The sequence below is a fragment of the Homo sapiens genome, chromosome 8, assembly GCF_000001405.40.
Source record: "Homo sapiens chromosome 8, GRCh38.p14 Primary Assembly".
Lineage (NCBI taxonomy): Eukaryota > Metazoa > Chordata > Mammalia > Primates > Hominidae > Homo > Homo sapiens.
Genome location: NC_000008.11, coordinates 35,076,784 through 35,094,071, shown reverse-complemented (window position 1 = coordinate 35,094,071; position 17,288 = coordinate 35,076,784). Strand labels below are relative to the sequence as shown.

Below are 17,288 nucleotides of genomic sequence, written 5' to 3'. Positions count from 1 at the left end.
TTTTCTTCAATATTTTAAACATACTTAGAGCAATTATATGTACTGTTTCCACCTTGGAGATCCATCTAATCTATTTTCTGTCTCCCTCTCACTAAATTCCATTCATGAAGAGATTTTTTACTTCTATTCACACATTTAGAATGAATATACATTATAGTCACCTGTTAATTTTTCTAACTAATGGAAGATGGATCTGAAGTGTGAGTAATGAGACAATTTTAGGTGTTTAATAATTGAAATAGACATGATTTATTGAAGATTTAGAACATGCCAGGCTCTAGATGAAGAGTTTTACGTTTACCATCTCCTTTAATCCTCACACCAGTCCATTGAGGTAAAACTGTTATTCCCAAATTTTACAGGTAAGGAAATTAAAGCAAGAGAAGTTAAATAGTTTCCCCAAAGTCAAACAACATGTTGGCCGAGTTAGTATTTGAACGCAGCCATTTTCAATCTAGAGCTCATACTCTTAGCTTTAACATTAACACTTGTCTTTCTACCAGGAACTCTGTGAGTTTTGCAATTTGCCTGTGTCACATTTTATTCCATGGGATGCTATAGGTTTTTGCCAACAAATGTAATTTATTTCCTGTACACATTACGAGCTCTCTGAGAGAGAGAGAGAGACTATCTTAGTTATCTTTGAATATACCTTATGCCCAGAGAATGATCTTGCTCACAGAAGGTTCTCCTTAAACGTTGGATTAAAAATAAGAAGAATAATGTGGCACAGTTTGATAATTGATTTGAATTAAAACAATAGTTTTGCATTTGATTCTAGAAAAGCAGGGAAGCTGTCCAATATCCATCCTGTTCCTTTCAGTTTATCCATAGAATTAACTGCATGCTCAGAGTTAGAGAAAATACTTTCTCAGAATGATGCCAGGTTTTTCTTCTTCCAAATGTTGTTTAGTATACACCTTTCTGCACTATTCTGAAAAATAGAAGGTACTGATGTCAACAAAGCTGTAATTATGTAGATTTAAAACTTCATAATTAATTAACTTATGGCAAAGCACTCTTCTAGGTTTGTAAGATATCAGAAAAGATAATAACTTGTCTTTCATTAACTTGAAAAAAATTCCAGTTGTCAATAATAAGATAGTTGTCTCTATACACAAACTTTCCTTAAATATTAAGAACCAGGAAAATAAGAGTTTCTAAAATTTTTAAATTAAAAATATAGAACGATCATACTTTTGTTTGTAAGCTTCCCACTCTGAGTTATGCAATAGTTAAAGTTACCTCTTTTTCTGTTTTGGGCAGCTTTGAATTTTTAGCTCTTAAAAACTCCTAAAAGGACACAACTAAAATTTTAATGGGCATTTCAGCTAAGTCTTTTTGAATTTTGTATTAGATTTCTCTTTAGCCTTGGGTAAAGTCATAAAAAAATTGTCTGCTTAAAAATGTAATCATCACACAGGAACTTCCCAAAGTCAGCATCAAATAGAATAAAATATATTTTGTTAACGATACAATTCATAAAATTACCAGCCCTGCCACTCTCTGCCCTCCAGGGACACCTCTTCCTCCTACTACATGTACACAAGTCACTGGTGTTTGTTCTGTGTAATTTAACCTTCTGATTGCCTTGAGTGCTTAATGAGCTAGATTATGTGAAATGCTGTTTAGAGGGGTGTTCACTTCTGTTGGGATAGAAATCCCAGTCGTGAGCCAGAGCCCAAGGAAGGTCCACTCCTGATGGATGAACTAGAATCAAGAAAAGACCTGCCAGCCTTGTTTGTTTTCCCTTCTAAAGGATGCTTAGTAAATACACAGAGTCAGTGTTCAAAGATTGAGTTGAGAGGGAGCATCTGGGCCCCTTTCCAGGTGCAGTAGCCTCGTTTCTCCTTAAATGTCTTATTTTTTCCTCGACATATAATTTTAGGATTCATATTGAGTTATCATTAGTCTTTCACCTCCTACCTCAAATTGGTTGGTTTATCCTTTTCCTAAAATCTGATAAGTTTCTTTCTCAAATTTCTCAAATTTGTCTTAAAGAAGGAAGCATATCTCCATCATGAACCTAGCACTTCACCTTTACAAAAACTCCCAGCAAGGGGCTGCGCCCTTTTAGAAAGAGATATAGAAGCTAGGCATAGTGGCTCAGGCATGTAATGCCAGCACATTGGGAGGCCGAGGTGGGGAGATAACTTGAGGCAAGGAGTTCGAGACAGCCTGGCCAACATGGTGAAATCCTGTCTATACTAAAAATACAAAAATTAGCTGGGCATGGTGGTGTGCACCTGTAAGCCCAGCTACTCTGGAGGCTGAGGCAGGAGAATGGCTTCAACGTGGGAGGCAGAGGTTGCAGTGAGCTGAGATTGTGCCATTGCACTCCAGCCTGGGCAACAGAGCGACTCTGTCTCCAAAAGAAAAAAAAGAGAGATAGAGAAAAATGCTATTGGTGAATGCTTATCATTTTGTTGGCAATAATATTTGATAGTAGTTTTCTATTCTGGGATTAAACAATGACTTTTTATTGAGCATTTGTTAGATGTTAAAATTTGATGAGGCTTTGGGGTGAACCCCAATAAAAGCCCCAGATTTTTATAAGCAGTTCACAACTTCATTAAGATCTGGTAAAAAAATGACATCATGTCTAAGAAATATCAAGTAAAACTTTAAAGGGCTGGTTTTTTGACTTTGGGGTTTGAGAAGTAATCTTTGAATAAATACAGTGTCCAGAGATAAAACAGATAAAACAGGAGTGACTTCTAATAATAATTTTTAGTATTTAAAAGGGGTTTTTCCATACAAATAGGAAGAAGAGAACAATCCATATGTATTGTTCTGAAAACAAATTTCTACCAGCTAACTAGATTAATCTGAAAAAAATAATTTGATATATTAAACTTATTTAATCCTTAGTGAAATTAATCTCCACTTCAGAGGACAGAAACCAGGGAGTCTGTTTTTTTAGGTGTCTTAGAGGGGAGGAATAAGCTGACCCTGTTTTAACAGATAGGCACTTGATGAATACATGTGTGTGGAGACTTCTAAAGGGCATATACAGCAGTGAAGCCATCGTTATTCACTGGAGCTTGTGTGAGCATTATTAATTCCACCCTACACAGAAGCTTCCCTGAAAACCCAACTCTGCCCGTGGCCGAACCATGTAAAATTCAGGAGTTTTATCAAGCATCATATCTTCTCTAAGATACAGACTTCGCAAGAGCAGAATGTTCATACCATGAGATTATTCTACCCCTGGTACAAGAGTAGAAAATTAGGGGATGATTAGCTTGACTTTCAACCGTTCCTTTATTCTAATGCCTCTAACAAGGTGGTGGTTTTTTTTCTTTTGCTTATTTGTTTTAAAAGTCTTGTGTTAAGAGTACTAATTGGGCTGAAGCACGTACTTTCGCTCTATAAGAATTACATAGGCTATTTGTAAATTAATCCAGCTAGGCCCCAAACAATTCTGAAACACTTTATTAGACAAGACAAAAATTAAATAGATGTTATAAGGCAAAATACAACCAGAAAAAGAATGATCTTTCTCTTCTGCTACATTATGACCTCTGAAGAATTTTTTTAAAAAATGCTTAATCTCCATTACCTAAATATATATGTTCAGCAAAACTTTGTTGAATAAACTAATTTACAGAAGGGAGAAAAATATGAAAAAAATGCACAAGGGAAGATATTGTCTATTGTCCCATGAATGTTTTAATATTTGTGCCGATAATATTTAATTAATAGATGTAAAAATCCCTTTATAGTCCTAAAACCAGAGGATATAATTGTTCCTGCTTCATAAACATGTTTATTTTATGCTCAGTCTGTGAGAACAGAGAGATACGAAGTCCTATTCAATCACACTTTTGATTCATATTTGCTCAATTTATTATCTTAACCTATTTCTCTTCATTGACACAGAAAAGGTCCAGTTTTAAACTTGCAAAGATAGCTGCAAATGATTAGTTATAATGACAAAGCTGAAATGTTTTCTTAAGAGATGAAGAAAAACCTAGTGATAGGATAGGTCAGGTAGGCAGAGGGAGAACTCAAACAAAACGAAACAACCAAACAAAAATCTCTCACCCAATTCCAGTTTCAGAAAGTGTGGAGCAGTTTATAACAATTAAAAACTATATGTAACTATATATACACACGTGTATATATATATATATATACGTGTATGTATATATATACGTGTATATATATATATACGTGTATATATATATACGTGTATATATATATTTATATACGTGTATATATATACACACACACAAATACACGCACACACACACGTGTGCTTACACAGTTACATACAATTATTTGATCACACTGAGGAATGACCAAAAGCCAGCAGAATTTGAGAAGATTCAGCCCTTGAAAGAAGACAAACACGGCTGGGCACAGTGGCTCACGCCTGTAATCCCAGCACTTTGGGAGGCTGAGGTGGGTGGATAACGAGGTCAGGAGCTCAAGACCAGCCTGGTCAACATGGTGAAACCCCCCCTACTAAAATTACAAAAAGTCACTGGACATGGTGGTACATGTCTGTAATCCTAGCTACTTGGGAGGCTGAGGCAGGAGAATAGCTTGAACCCGTGAGGCGGAGGTTGCAATGAGCCAAGATTGCTCCACTGCACCCCAGCCTGGACGACACAGCGAGACTCTGAGAAAAAAAAAAAAAAAAGAAGAAGGAAAGAAAGAAAGAGTGAAAGAGAGAAAGAAAGAGGAAAGAAAAAGCGAAAGAAAGAAAGAAGAAAAAGAAAGAAGAAAGAGAAAAAAGAAAGAAAAAAGAAAGAAAGAAAGAAAGAAAGAAAGAAAGAAAGAAAGAAAGAAAGAAAGACAGACAGACAGTAGGTGATCTCTGTGTTCACATTGTTACTGCTCATTCTGCAGTAGGGTTGGTGCAGGACAATTAGAACCTAAGCTAAGAACTTCAGGATTGTCACCTTGAGGAGTGAGAAAACTGAGTTTAAAGCTGTCAGAGCAACTGAAAATTAGGGGTGAGGATTCTGGAAAAGATAAATTGATTAGGAGATGAGTACCCAAATTTGTGTCTAAATTCTCCTCAAGTATTTGACCCACAAACTGTGAATGTATGTGTGAGGCTCCAAACCGCCCACCAATAAGCAACAAACTGGAGGTCTAAAAAGATATTTCAGTTAAGGACCTCTGCGTGAGAGACAGAATTTGATGTTGGGATCCTATCAAGTCAGAAGATTTGATTTGTTAAGGACACTTTAGTTTTTAGTTTTCTTAACGGAAGCCCAGGAGGATCATACCTTAAAAGTAATCACTACATCCTAGGACTAAGCATATGGCTAACACGGAAGACAAAGCTGAAATAGGTTCCCCCACCCCAAATACAGAGCAAGATGCGAAAACCAAGTGATCAGTCAGTAATTTCAGTCGCTGCTAGAATAAACCACTGCTGTTCAGAGGAGATTAACTGAATTCAGACTCTACAATGTGTTGTCAACAAAGTGAAGTATGCAATAAAAAGTAATAGTCTTTGGCCATAAAAAAGAATGAAATATCATTTGCAGCAACATGGATTGAACTGGAGATCATTGAATAAAGTAAGCCAGGCACAGAAAGACAAATATTGCATGTTCTCACTCATATGTGCAAGCTAAAAAAGTTTATCTCATGGAGATAGAGAATAGAATGATAGTTATTAGAGTCTGGGAAGGGTATGTGTGTGTGTGTGTGTGTGTGTGTGTGTGTGTGTGTGCATGCTGAGGGGTAGATGGTACAAACATACAGTTAGAGAGAAGGAATAAGTTCTAGTGTTCTAAAGCACAGTAGAGTTAGCAAAAATATAGTTTACATTTCAAAACAGCTGGAAGAGAAGAATTGAAATGTTCCAAACACAAAGAAATGATAAATCATTGAAGTTACGGATTCCTAAATACCTTGACTTGATTCCTACACATTTTATGCATGTATCAAAATATCATATGTACCCATTAAATATGTGCGAATATTATGTATCAATAAAATTTTTTTTAGAAATTTAGACATATTAAGAAACTAGTGTAGTTGAACCATAATCAAGAGGAGAAACAATCAATTGAAAACTACCTAGAGGTGTTGGTATCCTTGTATTGGAATTAGCATACAAGTGTTTTAGAGCAGCTATTTTAACTGTATTAAAGTATGAAAGAAATATATGCTTATAATGAAGGAACAGATAATAAAATATCCATAGAAAAATAAATATTATAAACAAGTGTCAAATGAATATCTTAAAACTGAGAACTAAAATGTTTAAAATAAAGAATATTTTATTGAATGGCTTCAACAGAAGACTAGAGATGAGGGAAGAAATAACCAAAAAACTTTAAAACTGATTAACATAATGTTCATTGTGAAGAAGAGAAATAAAAAAAACATTGAAGACAGAATTATGTTTGGCAATACCAAATGACTTACAAAAAATGTAATTTAAAAAATGGAATAAGTTTAAAATGTAATAATTCTAAAAGGAGAGAAGAAAGAGAACAGGCAAAGAATACATTTGAAGAAGTAATGTCTGAAAAATCCACAAATAAATGAAAGGTATAAGCTTACAGATTTAAGAAGCACAAATAGCTCCACACAGAATAAATACAAAGGAACCACACCTAGGTATATCATAGTAAAACTGCTGAGGACAAAAGAAAAAGAAAAAATCTAGAAAGCAAAAAAAAAAAATGGCACATTATATTAAATGAATAATATTGACTTCTGTTCAGAACAAGGGAACCTGGAAACTAGGCAAACATGATACATAAACTGTTGAAAGGGGAAAACCCAGGCCTGCCGATTCTGAGTTCTATATCTTGAAAGTATAAGTCAAGAATGAAGGCCAAAAAAAGATATTTTTAGATAAATAAAAAATGAAAAGACTTGTTTCTAAACTGATGTGTACCAAAAGAAATGTAAAAGCAATTATTTAGACTGAGGGAAATAATTCTAGATGGAAATTTGAATCTTCAGAGAGAAATGAGGGATATGGCAATGATAAATATGCATATAAATATGAGCTTAATTTTTATCTTATTTCCTGTATGATTATATAAAAATTTATATACAATTTTATAAGACATATTTCTCTATATTATTTTTGTATAATTTAAATGGCTTCTTAAAGCAAAATTTATAAGTTTTATTTGGGAGTTTGTAATGTATGTTGAGGTAAATCATGAAAAATTACATTAAAAAGAACAAAAGCACAATTGCAAGATTCTTTTATATGATGTTGGATAATTGTAACTCTAAGTAGTTTGAAAAGTTAATGATTTGGATTTTAGTCTGTACATCAAGCTCACTAAAAGCAACAGAAAAAAGGATAGATTAAAAGTCATTAGATAAATTACAGTAGAATCCTAAAATATATTGAATTAACAAAAAAAAGTGCAAGAAATAGGAATGGGGAATAAAAAAATTGGAAACACAGAAAACAAATAGAAACTTCTAGCTATATCTCAATTGTTATCAGTAATTACACTGCATGGAGATGGACTAAACATTGTAATTAAAGGATGATGTTATTAGAGTTGAAAAAGAACCATGACTCAATTCTAATACAACAGCAGCACACAACACACTTAAATGTGAAGAAAATGAGAGTTTAAAATAAAGAATGGAAGATATATGCTTTGTTAGCAATAACCATAAGAAAGCTGGAGTGGCTATCTTAACATAAGATAGACTTAAGACAAAGACTATTACAAGAGATTAAAAAAAAGGACACTTCATAATGATGAAATGTTCAGTCCTTCAGGAATCTATACTAATCAGAAATACGTATATGGCTAATAACAGAGTTTCAAAATAGTTCTGTGAATATTGATTCAACTGATAAAAGAAACAGAAAAATCCATGTATTTCATTGGAAATTTTAACATTCATCTCTCAGTAACTGATAGAACTGGACACAGAATCAGTCAGGCCATAAGTGCCCTGAACAACACTAGGCACTTCTTTTAACTAATTATTATTTATAGAACATTATACCAGAATACATATTCTACTTCAGTGTACTTAGTATGCTTACCAAAATAGACCATGTTCTAGGCTATAAAAGAAGTTTCAATATGGCAAAAATGTTTGAATATTTCAATATGCTAACGGAGTGAAATTTTGCAGACTATATCTTCTAATCACGATGAAATTAAATGATAAATTAGTAACAATAAGATATCTGTAAGTCCTCAATAGACCAAAGAATAAATTACAAGAGATATTTAAATTAATTTTACCAAATTACAATGAAAATATAAAAATCAAAATGAATAAAATCTACAGGAAACTTTATAGCATTAAATGTTTATTATATTTGAAAACTGAAAATGTCTAATATCAAAGATCCATAGGTATACTTGACGAACTTAGAAGAAGAACAAAGTAAAACCAAAGTTATCAAAAATAAGGAAGTAATAAAGATTAGAGTAGATATCCATGAAATAAAAAACAAAAAACTACCGGTACAGTGGCTGACACCTGTAATTCAAGCACTTTGGGAGGCTGAGACAGGAAGATGGGTGAGGCCAGGCATTCAAGACCATCCTGGGCAATGTAGTGAGACCCTCATCTCTACAAAAAAATAAAAAATTAGCCGGATGTGGTGGTGCACACCTGTAGTCCCAGCTGCTTGGGAGGCTAAGATGGGAGGATGGCCTGAAGCCAGGAGGTCATCTGCAGTGAGCCATGATTGCACCACTGCCCCCACCTTAGGTGACAGGGTGAGACCCTGTCACAATAAACAAATAATAAATAAATAATAGAGAAAATAACAGAATTTTGTCCTTTATTGTCATGACAGCATAGATGCACAGATATTAAAATATACTAAGGGAATGTTATGAACAATTATACGCCCCTAAATTTGGCAACTCAGACAAAATGACTAAATTCCATGAAATTAAAAACTTATCAAAAACTGAAAAAAGATTAACAAAATATAAAGACTCATATGTTCTTTAAAATAATTCAATTATTTATCAAAAATCTTCCCATAAAGAAAATTCCAGGTCCAGGTTGCTTTAGTGGTGACTTTTACTACATGTTTAAGAATGTTAAACTACCAATCTTACATAAATACTGAGAAAGTAGAGTAGAAAACACCAAGTTGTTTTATTGGATCATCAAAATACTAATATCAAAGATGGACAAAGATATTTCCAAAATAAATATACTGCACACAAATATCCCTCATGAACATAGTCGCCAAAATTTAAAAAATTGCAAGTTAAATCCAGCAATATATATATAAAAGTTGAGGAAATATTATGGGTCGTGGGACATATTTTAGAAAAGCAAAGTTGGTTTAGCAATGAAAAGACAATCAATGTAATTTGACATATTAACAGAAAAGAAAAATAATATGGGCATCTCATTAGATGCAGAATAAAAGTTGGCACAATGCAGCACTATTGCAGGAAAAACTCTTAGCAAAACTAGGAATCGAAGAAAGCTTTTATACTGGCTATTTAGCCAATGCAATAAGACAAGCTAGGGGGAAAAAAAGGCATATGTACTAAAAATGAAAAAAAATTTTCTTTATTTTCAGATGACATAATCATCTACATAGAAAATCCCAAAGGGAGATGCATTAATGCTATAAAAATCACCTATATATTTTCATAAGAAGAGTTTGCAAATAGGAGAAAACCAGAATTGGCCGTAAGGGGGCAAACGGAATGAGGAGAGTAGAGCAGAAGAAAGTCAACAGAAGGGAGATATAGACCAACAAGAAAAAAGCTGGATCCTAAAGATAAACTTGACAGCTTCAAATTTTCACTTATTTTTTTTCTTCATCCCTGTTTCTTCCAGTCCTGTCTAATTTAAGGGAAAGTTGATGTCTTTATTAGAAGCATTCTATGTTTCCAGTGAAATTATAAATCTCACAAAGGCAGAGGTTATGCCTATTTTACGCACTTTCCTATGACCCAATAGCAGCCACAGTAGCTGCATGGTAGATACATAACTCATTTCTTCATTGTCTAATGCATTTATTCCTTAAATATTGAATGAGTGCTCACCATGTGTCAGGCACGCAGTGAGCAAAAGAAAGCCTCAGCTTTCGCAGAGCTTAAAAAAAGTGAAATAGGGAAAGAGAAGAAAACAGCTAATAATTCAAATAAAATGTATATTATTACATATATATTTATTTTTAATTGTTTAAATTTCCATTTTTATTATAAATTCAGTGGGTACATGTGCAAGTTTGTTACAAGGGTATACTGTGTGATGCGGAGGTTCAGGCCTCTATCGATCCCATCACCCAGATAGTGGACATAGTACCCAATAGAAAGTTTTCAGCCCCTGGCCCCCTTCTTTTTATATTTTTATACATATTATTTCCACAGGGTCTCAGAGTAATGATGTAGTATAGGCAGAGTGAAGTGATATCTCAATTTTATAGATAAGGAAACTGAAGAACGGAAAGACAGTGGATTGCTAAGAGTCCTACAATGATGTAGCAAGGTCATGCATCTAGGTCTTCAGGGAGGAAATCTCATTTCCATTCTTCTTCCTTTAAAGCAGGGCAGAGGAAGGATGAAATAGACAAGCCCTACAATGTAGGATTTATGAAGGTTGCCACCCTCTTTTTCTAAGCATAGAAAAAATGGGTGCTCTGAGCACATGCTCATTGTTTCACAGTGGCAGCTGTGGCTGCTAAAGGACGATGCCTTGTTAAAAGGAGACAGAAGCATGGCTGCTTTGACAGAAGTGTTCTCTTGTGGCTTGCAGAGGATCAGATATCCATCATGCACTGTTATTTATTTATCATATCTTAGTCATTGCCCTCCGTAGCACAAATGCGAAATAGCAGTTTCCCTTTCCCCTGGGAAGGCCAAGCCTGATGAGTCAATAATTAAAAACTGCCTTGACAGCTGACACTTGTGCCTCCCTGGAAACCTGCAAAAGGGCAAGGGAAACAAAGAAAAGGTTCTTCTTATAAAGTCAAACCTAACTTTGTCAATTGACAGAAGGAGTTACATGCAAGTGAGAGAGAGAAAGACCAGAGGGCAGGCGTGGTGGACCATGAGCTTGATGTGAGTCAGGGGTGCAGTCATTTCCTGAGATGGTAAGTATGACATGAGAATATATTATCACAGCAGTGCTGCAAGAGGACCCCATTAAAATACTGGGCACTAGGAGAGGATATATAGTTCTAGATTCTACAGTTTGAGTTAGGAGTAAATCTCTTAGGGAAGTTTCTGATGATCCACCTGAAAAATAACAAAGAAGATAAATGGAGCAAAAAGGTGCACTATTTAAATTGAAAAACCAGAGTAAACAACATCAAAACCCAGGAAAAACTGATAGGCATTCATTTCCACAGGACATTAGAGGGAGAATGGGGCCTATGTTGAAGCAAAGGAGTACCAAGATAGACCAAAGCTAGCTAAAGATTACATTTGCAGTTTGGTTAAACAGCAGCAGATTACCAGGGATGATCGTACCATTTTCACCCAAAGAATGATTTGATAATTACCAATGACAGTAATTACCATAATTACTGGATCTGGACAGAGTGGGTGGTAGTAAATGGCAGGGCATTGGAAGGCTCTTTCAAAGCCTTAGAGTCCACTTTCATTTTTTCAGCTCCCAAGGAGGCAAGACTTCCCTTCTTGGCTGATGCTCACTGTAAGGTGTCATCCATGTTCACTTCATTTCCACAAACTTCCAGAAACTAGAAAGTGGTGCCGACTTAATGTAACAATATATTCATATGGCTTTTTGTCGTCCTTCTTCTAGTTATTAAAAAAAAGTATCCAGAAGAATACTGGTAACCTTCTCAAAAAGCATGCTTTTTCCATTTGTATTTTTCTTATTTTTTCCCCTAAGGCTTCATAAATGTCTTGTCTGAATTTTTAAGACTTTTTATCATTCTTTTAGACAAAGAGAAGAAAAAAATGCCAAAATTTATTAAAAGTTTCAATAATGTAACATAAATGAAAAAGGAAGCCAGCTGCGGTGGCTCACGCTTGTAATGCCAGCACTTTGGGAGGCCAAGGTGGGCAGATCACTTGAGATCAGGAGTTCCAGACAGCCTGATCAACATGGTGAAACCCTGTCTCTACTAAAAATACAAAAATTAACCGGGCATGGTGGTCAGCACCTGTAATCCCAGCTACTCAAAAGGTTGAGGCAGGAGAATTGCTTGAACCCGGTAGGCAGAGGTTGCAGTGGTCTGAGACTGCACCACTGCACTCCAGCCCGGGTGACAGAGCCAGACCCCATCAAAAAAAAAAAAAAAAAAAAAAAAAAGGAATTACAGTGGGTCCTCTGTATCTGTGGGTTTCAAATCTGCAGATTCAACCAACCATGGATCAAAAATATTCAAGAAAAAGAACAACAAAAAATAACAATACAATAAAAAATGAAAATAAAAACCAATACAGTATAACAACTGTTTACATAGCATGTATGTAATAGGCTCGCTTGCATGATGTACAGCAAGCCAATATATTGAGACACTGGGGATGGCAGCAGAGGTAGAGTTTGGTTATTATACAGCAGCCTAACGAGGAGATGGGAGGAAACCTCAAATCTACCTCCCCAAAAAGTTTGGGCTAGGGATTTTAGGTAGTTTGCAGTAGGCCGAGGTATGGGGATCACTGACTGATAGGAGTGCAAGGTAAAGTCATGGGATGGGAAGATGAGGAAACTGCACTCTCCTGCTGATTGGGTTTCTCTGTGGAAGTCTTTAAATTGGTTGGCATCAGCCTTTCCACTGGAATTTAGGATCTAAAGACCCTCTTAAGCAGTTCTTAAACAAAATGCCTTGTGATTCTTATGTCAATGTTTCTACTTATAGGAACAAGTATGCAAATCAATTCTTAAACAAAAGCCTTAGGATTCTAACATCGAAATCCTATCTACAGGAGCAATGGGGGTGCAAATGGTCAGTACCTAGTGCTACCTGACTTTCAGTTACAAGGAAGTGGGCCAGAGTGCAGCCTGATTAATGCTTAATTATTACTGTAGTTCTGCCCAGAACCCACCATTTAGTTCTTGTTAACCCTATGAGGGTGGTTTCATTTACATTCTATTAGGTATTTAATCTAGAAATGATTTAAAGTATAAAGAGAATGTGAGTAGATTGCAAATGCTACACCATTGTATATCAGGACTTGAGCATACCTGGATTTGGGTATCTGCAGGAGGTTCTGGAACCAATCCCCCTCAGATACTGTATTTGAACTTATTAATTTCTTCATAGCACTGGCCTTAAACATCTTCCATCTATAATTTGTAGGGGAGAGGACCATGAAGGAGAGGATAAAAACCAAACTAAATATAAAGGTGCCATTTAGCCACCCAAGTTAGGGAAGAGGAGCTCCTTGGAGAAATATCAGCCTTAATGGTCCCCAGAAGTTTAATGCAGACAGTGGAAGTACAAACCAGGGACACTCAAGAGCCAGCATGAACAGGAGGCAGGGCTGGCAGCTGCACCTGTGCCCTGATTTCAGGATCCTCGAAAATCTCTTTGTATTTCCAAATGTCTTTTCCAATTTCTTCTGTTGCCCTAAATTTCACTTTAGAACTTTTGGCATTTGGCATAACGGTTTGGCCATTGTGATGGAGTTTTGTGGAATGTGATGTTTCCTAGGGTCACAGGATGGGTCCTTAAACAAAAACATGAATTAGTTGGCCAGGTCAAATCCATTCTTTACAGCTTATTTGGCTAATCAGTTGAAAGCGTAAGGAGAGCATAACATGAGACAGCAGAGACACAGATAAAAGCAAAGTAGAAATAAGTGTAAACATTGGGAATGATTTTTAAATCTGTATTATTATATCAAGCCAAGTCAGAGTGAAATGTGTATTGATGCTGTGATTTGTATCTAGTTTATACTTTGAGTCTGAAACCCTGGTGAAGAGAAGAGATGCCAAAAGCTTGGAGATAAATGAGCAAAATGATGTCTCTGGTTTCAGGAAGATAAATTTCAGCAAATTGACTACTGAACAGTAAAAATAATAAGCTGATTCTTTTTTACAGCTTTATCAAGATATGATTCACAAACCATACAATTCACTCATTTAAAGTGAACTGTTCAATGGCTTTTGGTGTTTTTATAGATTTGTGCAGCCATCACCACAATGCATTTTGCAATATTTTCATTATTTCCCAAAGAAACTCCACACCATATCCCTTGGCATCACCCCTCATCAACTCAGTCCTGCAGCCCCAAGCAGCGCATAATGTAATTTCTGTCTCTGTAGATTTACCTATTATGTACATTTGCATATCAAAGAAATTTAAACTGATTATTAATAATTTTTCATTTTTCAAGAATACATTTTGTCAAAACATACTGACTTCTTTTTTGATTAAATTACAGTAATCGCCCTTTAAAATGTTATACAAACAATATATTTAAATATCAACAAAGATACTGCTTTCCTAGAAAAAATATTTTAAAATACTCTAGCCAACCAAAAAAGGAGTTGACGTAAGAAATTCAAAAATGAACAAGTTGTGGTATAAAATGACTGAGGTTATGAACAATAGCAGATGCATACAGAATTAATAGTCATTACAATGTTCATAGAATATGGCAAATGTTTAAAACAATTCTTTAAAGATGATATTTGGTGAATAATACATGATTATTCATAAAATATGAATCCAAAGTTCCAGTTCATAACAACAAAACTAATAATGGAGGGAGAACAGAAGAGGAAACAAGAACAGCTAATGTTGTATATTAAGAGTTAAGATACCATTACCATCAATGCTACTGATAGTTAAAGAAAAAAATAGGTTCAACATGTTTTATATAAACTTAAAATTTTGTAGAATGAAAAGGTGAATGTACATGTATTCCCAATTATGGAGAAAGAAAAATGTCAAGGAGAAATGGTACTTTTAGAAACAATTTTAAAATAGAGACCTTCAGGAAGTATAATTGAATGGTCTTAATCTCCTGTTCCCAGGTGCAGTTCACATTATTATTTGCTTAAATTTCTTCCTAGACAGGCAGAGGATAATTCTGTCCTGCTCATAGATGTATCATGTACAACATGTGGCATCTTATAAAGGCATTTTAAGTGAATAAATAAATGAATACACTCTTGATTACAAAACACAATGAGCCAGTAAGATTTTAGAACAAATATATCAATTCATCCATTATATGGAATATACAAGAATCTATTAAAAGTCATGTTTTAGTGAACATTTGATGTCACTGACAATGCTCATGACAAAATATTAAATGAAAATACAATTCAACAATTCAAGTTTATAGTAATAATGCACATGAAGAAAGAGAGAGAATGCATGAGAGAAAGAGAAAGAAAAAGGGTTGGAAGAGAGAAGGAGACACTGGAAATAATTCTAGTTAACTGACTATTTCTGGGAAGTTAAAATGGGTGTTATATAAATTTCTTTGCACTTTAAAACAATTTCCTTTAGTATATTGAAAATGTGATGTCTTATTTGTTCTAGTGATTATCTTTTTATTTTTACCTTTTACAGCACCTTTAATTCCCCTTTTTCTTACATTTGTTACAGTCATGGATAGTTTAATAACGGGGATACAGTCTGATAAATGTGTTGTCAGGCAACCAAGTTGTTGCATGAACATCATAGAGTGGACTCACACAAGCCTACATGGTGTGGCCTGCTACACACCTAGGCTATATGGTATAGCTTATTGCTCCTGGGTCGAAAACCTGTACAACATGTGAGTGTACTGAATACTGTAGGTGATTGGAACACAATGGAAAATATTTGTGAATCTAAACATAGAAAAGATACTTTAAAAATGCAGTAATATAATCTTATAGGACCACTGTTATATATGAGATATGTTGTTGACTGAAATGTCATCATGTCGTGCATGTCTATGGTTGGTTTGTCAGCGTAAAATGATTATCTCTTAATCTCCACTCCAACAATCAATTAACTTATTTTTAAATTTTCACTCCTTTTTTGATTTTTTAAGTTGAATTCTTTATTCTTTGTGAAATCATATCTATACAATATTTTCCATCATTTTCATCATCCTTGTTTTCATGTTACATTTATAATTATATATATTAAATGCTCACTGTCAGTCCTTTCACCCCAAATTTCACAGTATCTTTTGGTTGGATAAAGACCATTCTCTCGTAGTTTCCTCTAGAAAGACAATTGTGAACAGGCTGAGTCCTTTCAGGTATAAACTCATTATGTGAGTTTATTGACATTTGAACAGAAGCTTAGTTGAGTAAAATATCTTTGGATCATTCTTTCCATGAGTTCCTTAAAAATGCTGCTACAGGCCGGGCACGGTGGCTCACACCTGTAATCCCAGCAGTTTGGGAGGCCGAGGTGGGCGGATCACCTGAGGTAGGGAGTTTGAGACCAGCCTGACCAACATGGAGAAACCCCATCTCTACCAAAAATACAAAATTAGCCTAGCGTGGTGGTGCATGCTTGTAATCTCAGCCACTCGGGAGACTGAGGCAGGAGAATCACTTGAACCTGGGAGGCGGAGGTTGTGGTGAGCTGAGATTATGCCATTGCACTCTAGCCTGGGCAACAAGAATGAAACTCCGTCTTGAAATAAATAAATAAAATAAAATAAAATAAAAATGCTGCTACAAAATTGACTTGTTTGTTGATTTTGACAGATCTGATCCCATTGTTATTTTCTTACTTTGGTCTTTCAGTGAGCAAGACTGGAGAATTTTTTTTCTTTGTCTCTAAATTATAATAGTTTTACAAGGGTATGTCACAAAATTCAGGAAATTCCAACTCAATTATTCCAGGAACCCAGTGAACCTTTTAGTATGTAGATGTAAGTCTTTTAGTTCAAGAAACTTTTCTTTGATTACAGTTTTTTTTTCCTAACTCAATTCTATTTAGGAATAATTTACATACATTAAGATTCAACTGTTTAAAATGAGAGTTTGATGACTTTTGATAAATGTATATGTTTTGTTACCCACATAAACACTACCACATCAAGATATAGGACTTTCTTATGCCTCAAGGAAATGCCCTTCCACTCCATTTCAGTTAATCCCTTTCCCCAAGCATCTATCTTACCACCCATGTGATAGCCCCAAGCAATCACTGATTTGATTTCTATCACTACAGGTTAGACTTTTCTGGAATTTCATATAAGTTAATCATACAATATAAACATATTGTGTGTGATATCATACAGGGTTCATGTAGGGTGCCTTGTTTCTGTTTTATCTTGCTTCTCTTTCTCAGCATGATTTTGGAATTTATCCATACTGTTTTATGTGTTCGTAGTTTATACCTTTTTATTGACATGTAGTATTCCATTGTATGTATATACCACAAATTTAAGAATTTAGCCTTTGATAGA

At 34.9% G+C, this 17,288-nt stretch overlaps 1 long non-coding RNA gene across 2 annotated transcripts, besides 1 other annotated feature; it reads right to left on the bottom strand.

The window, feature by feature from the left end:
* Nucleotides 1-282: 282 nt before the first annotated feature.
* Nucleotides 283-13,491, bottom strand: LOC105379369 (uncharacterized). 2 transcript variants are annotated; one of them, XR_949664.2, is made up of 3 exons: nt 13,363-13,491; nt 13,102-13,203; nt 283-934 (listed from the first exon to the last, which is right to left on the bottom strand). It is a non-coding gene; the product is annotated as an uncharacterized LOC105379369 (long non-coding RNA). The 2 variants fall into 2 exon arrangements; XR_949666.2 differs by lacking the exon at nt 283-934 and adding an exon at nt 11,125-11,183.
* Nucleotides 10,493-11,692: an enhancer, noted in NCBI's record as "CDK7 strongly-dependent group 2 enhancer chr8:34939898-34941097 (GRCh37/hg19 assembly coordinates)". NCBI's record gives its function as "activates an origin of replication core promoter dependent on BRD2, BRD4, P300/CBP, MED14 and CDK7 cofactors, with strong dependence on CDK7, by STARR-seq in HCT116 cells {active_cell/tissue: HCT116}" and the evidence as "EXISTENCE:reporter gene assay evidence [ECO:0000049][PMID:35650434]".
* Nucleotides 13,492-17,288: the final 3,797 nt, after the last annotated feature.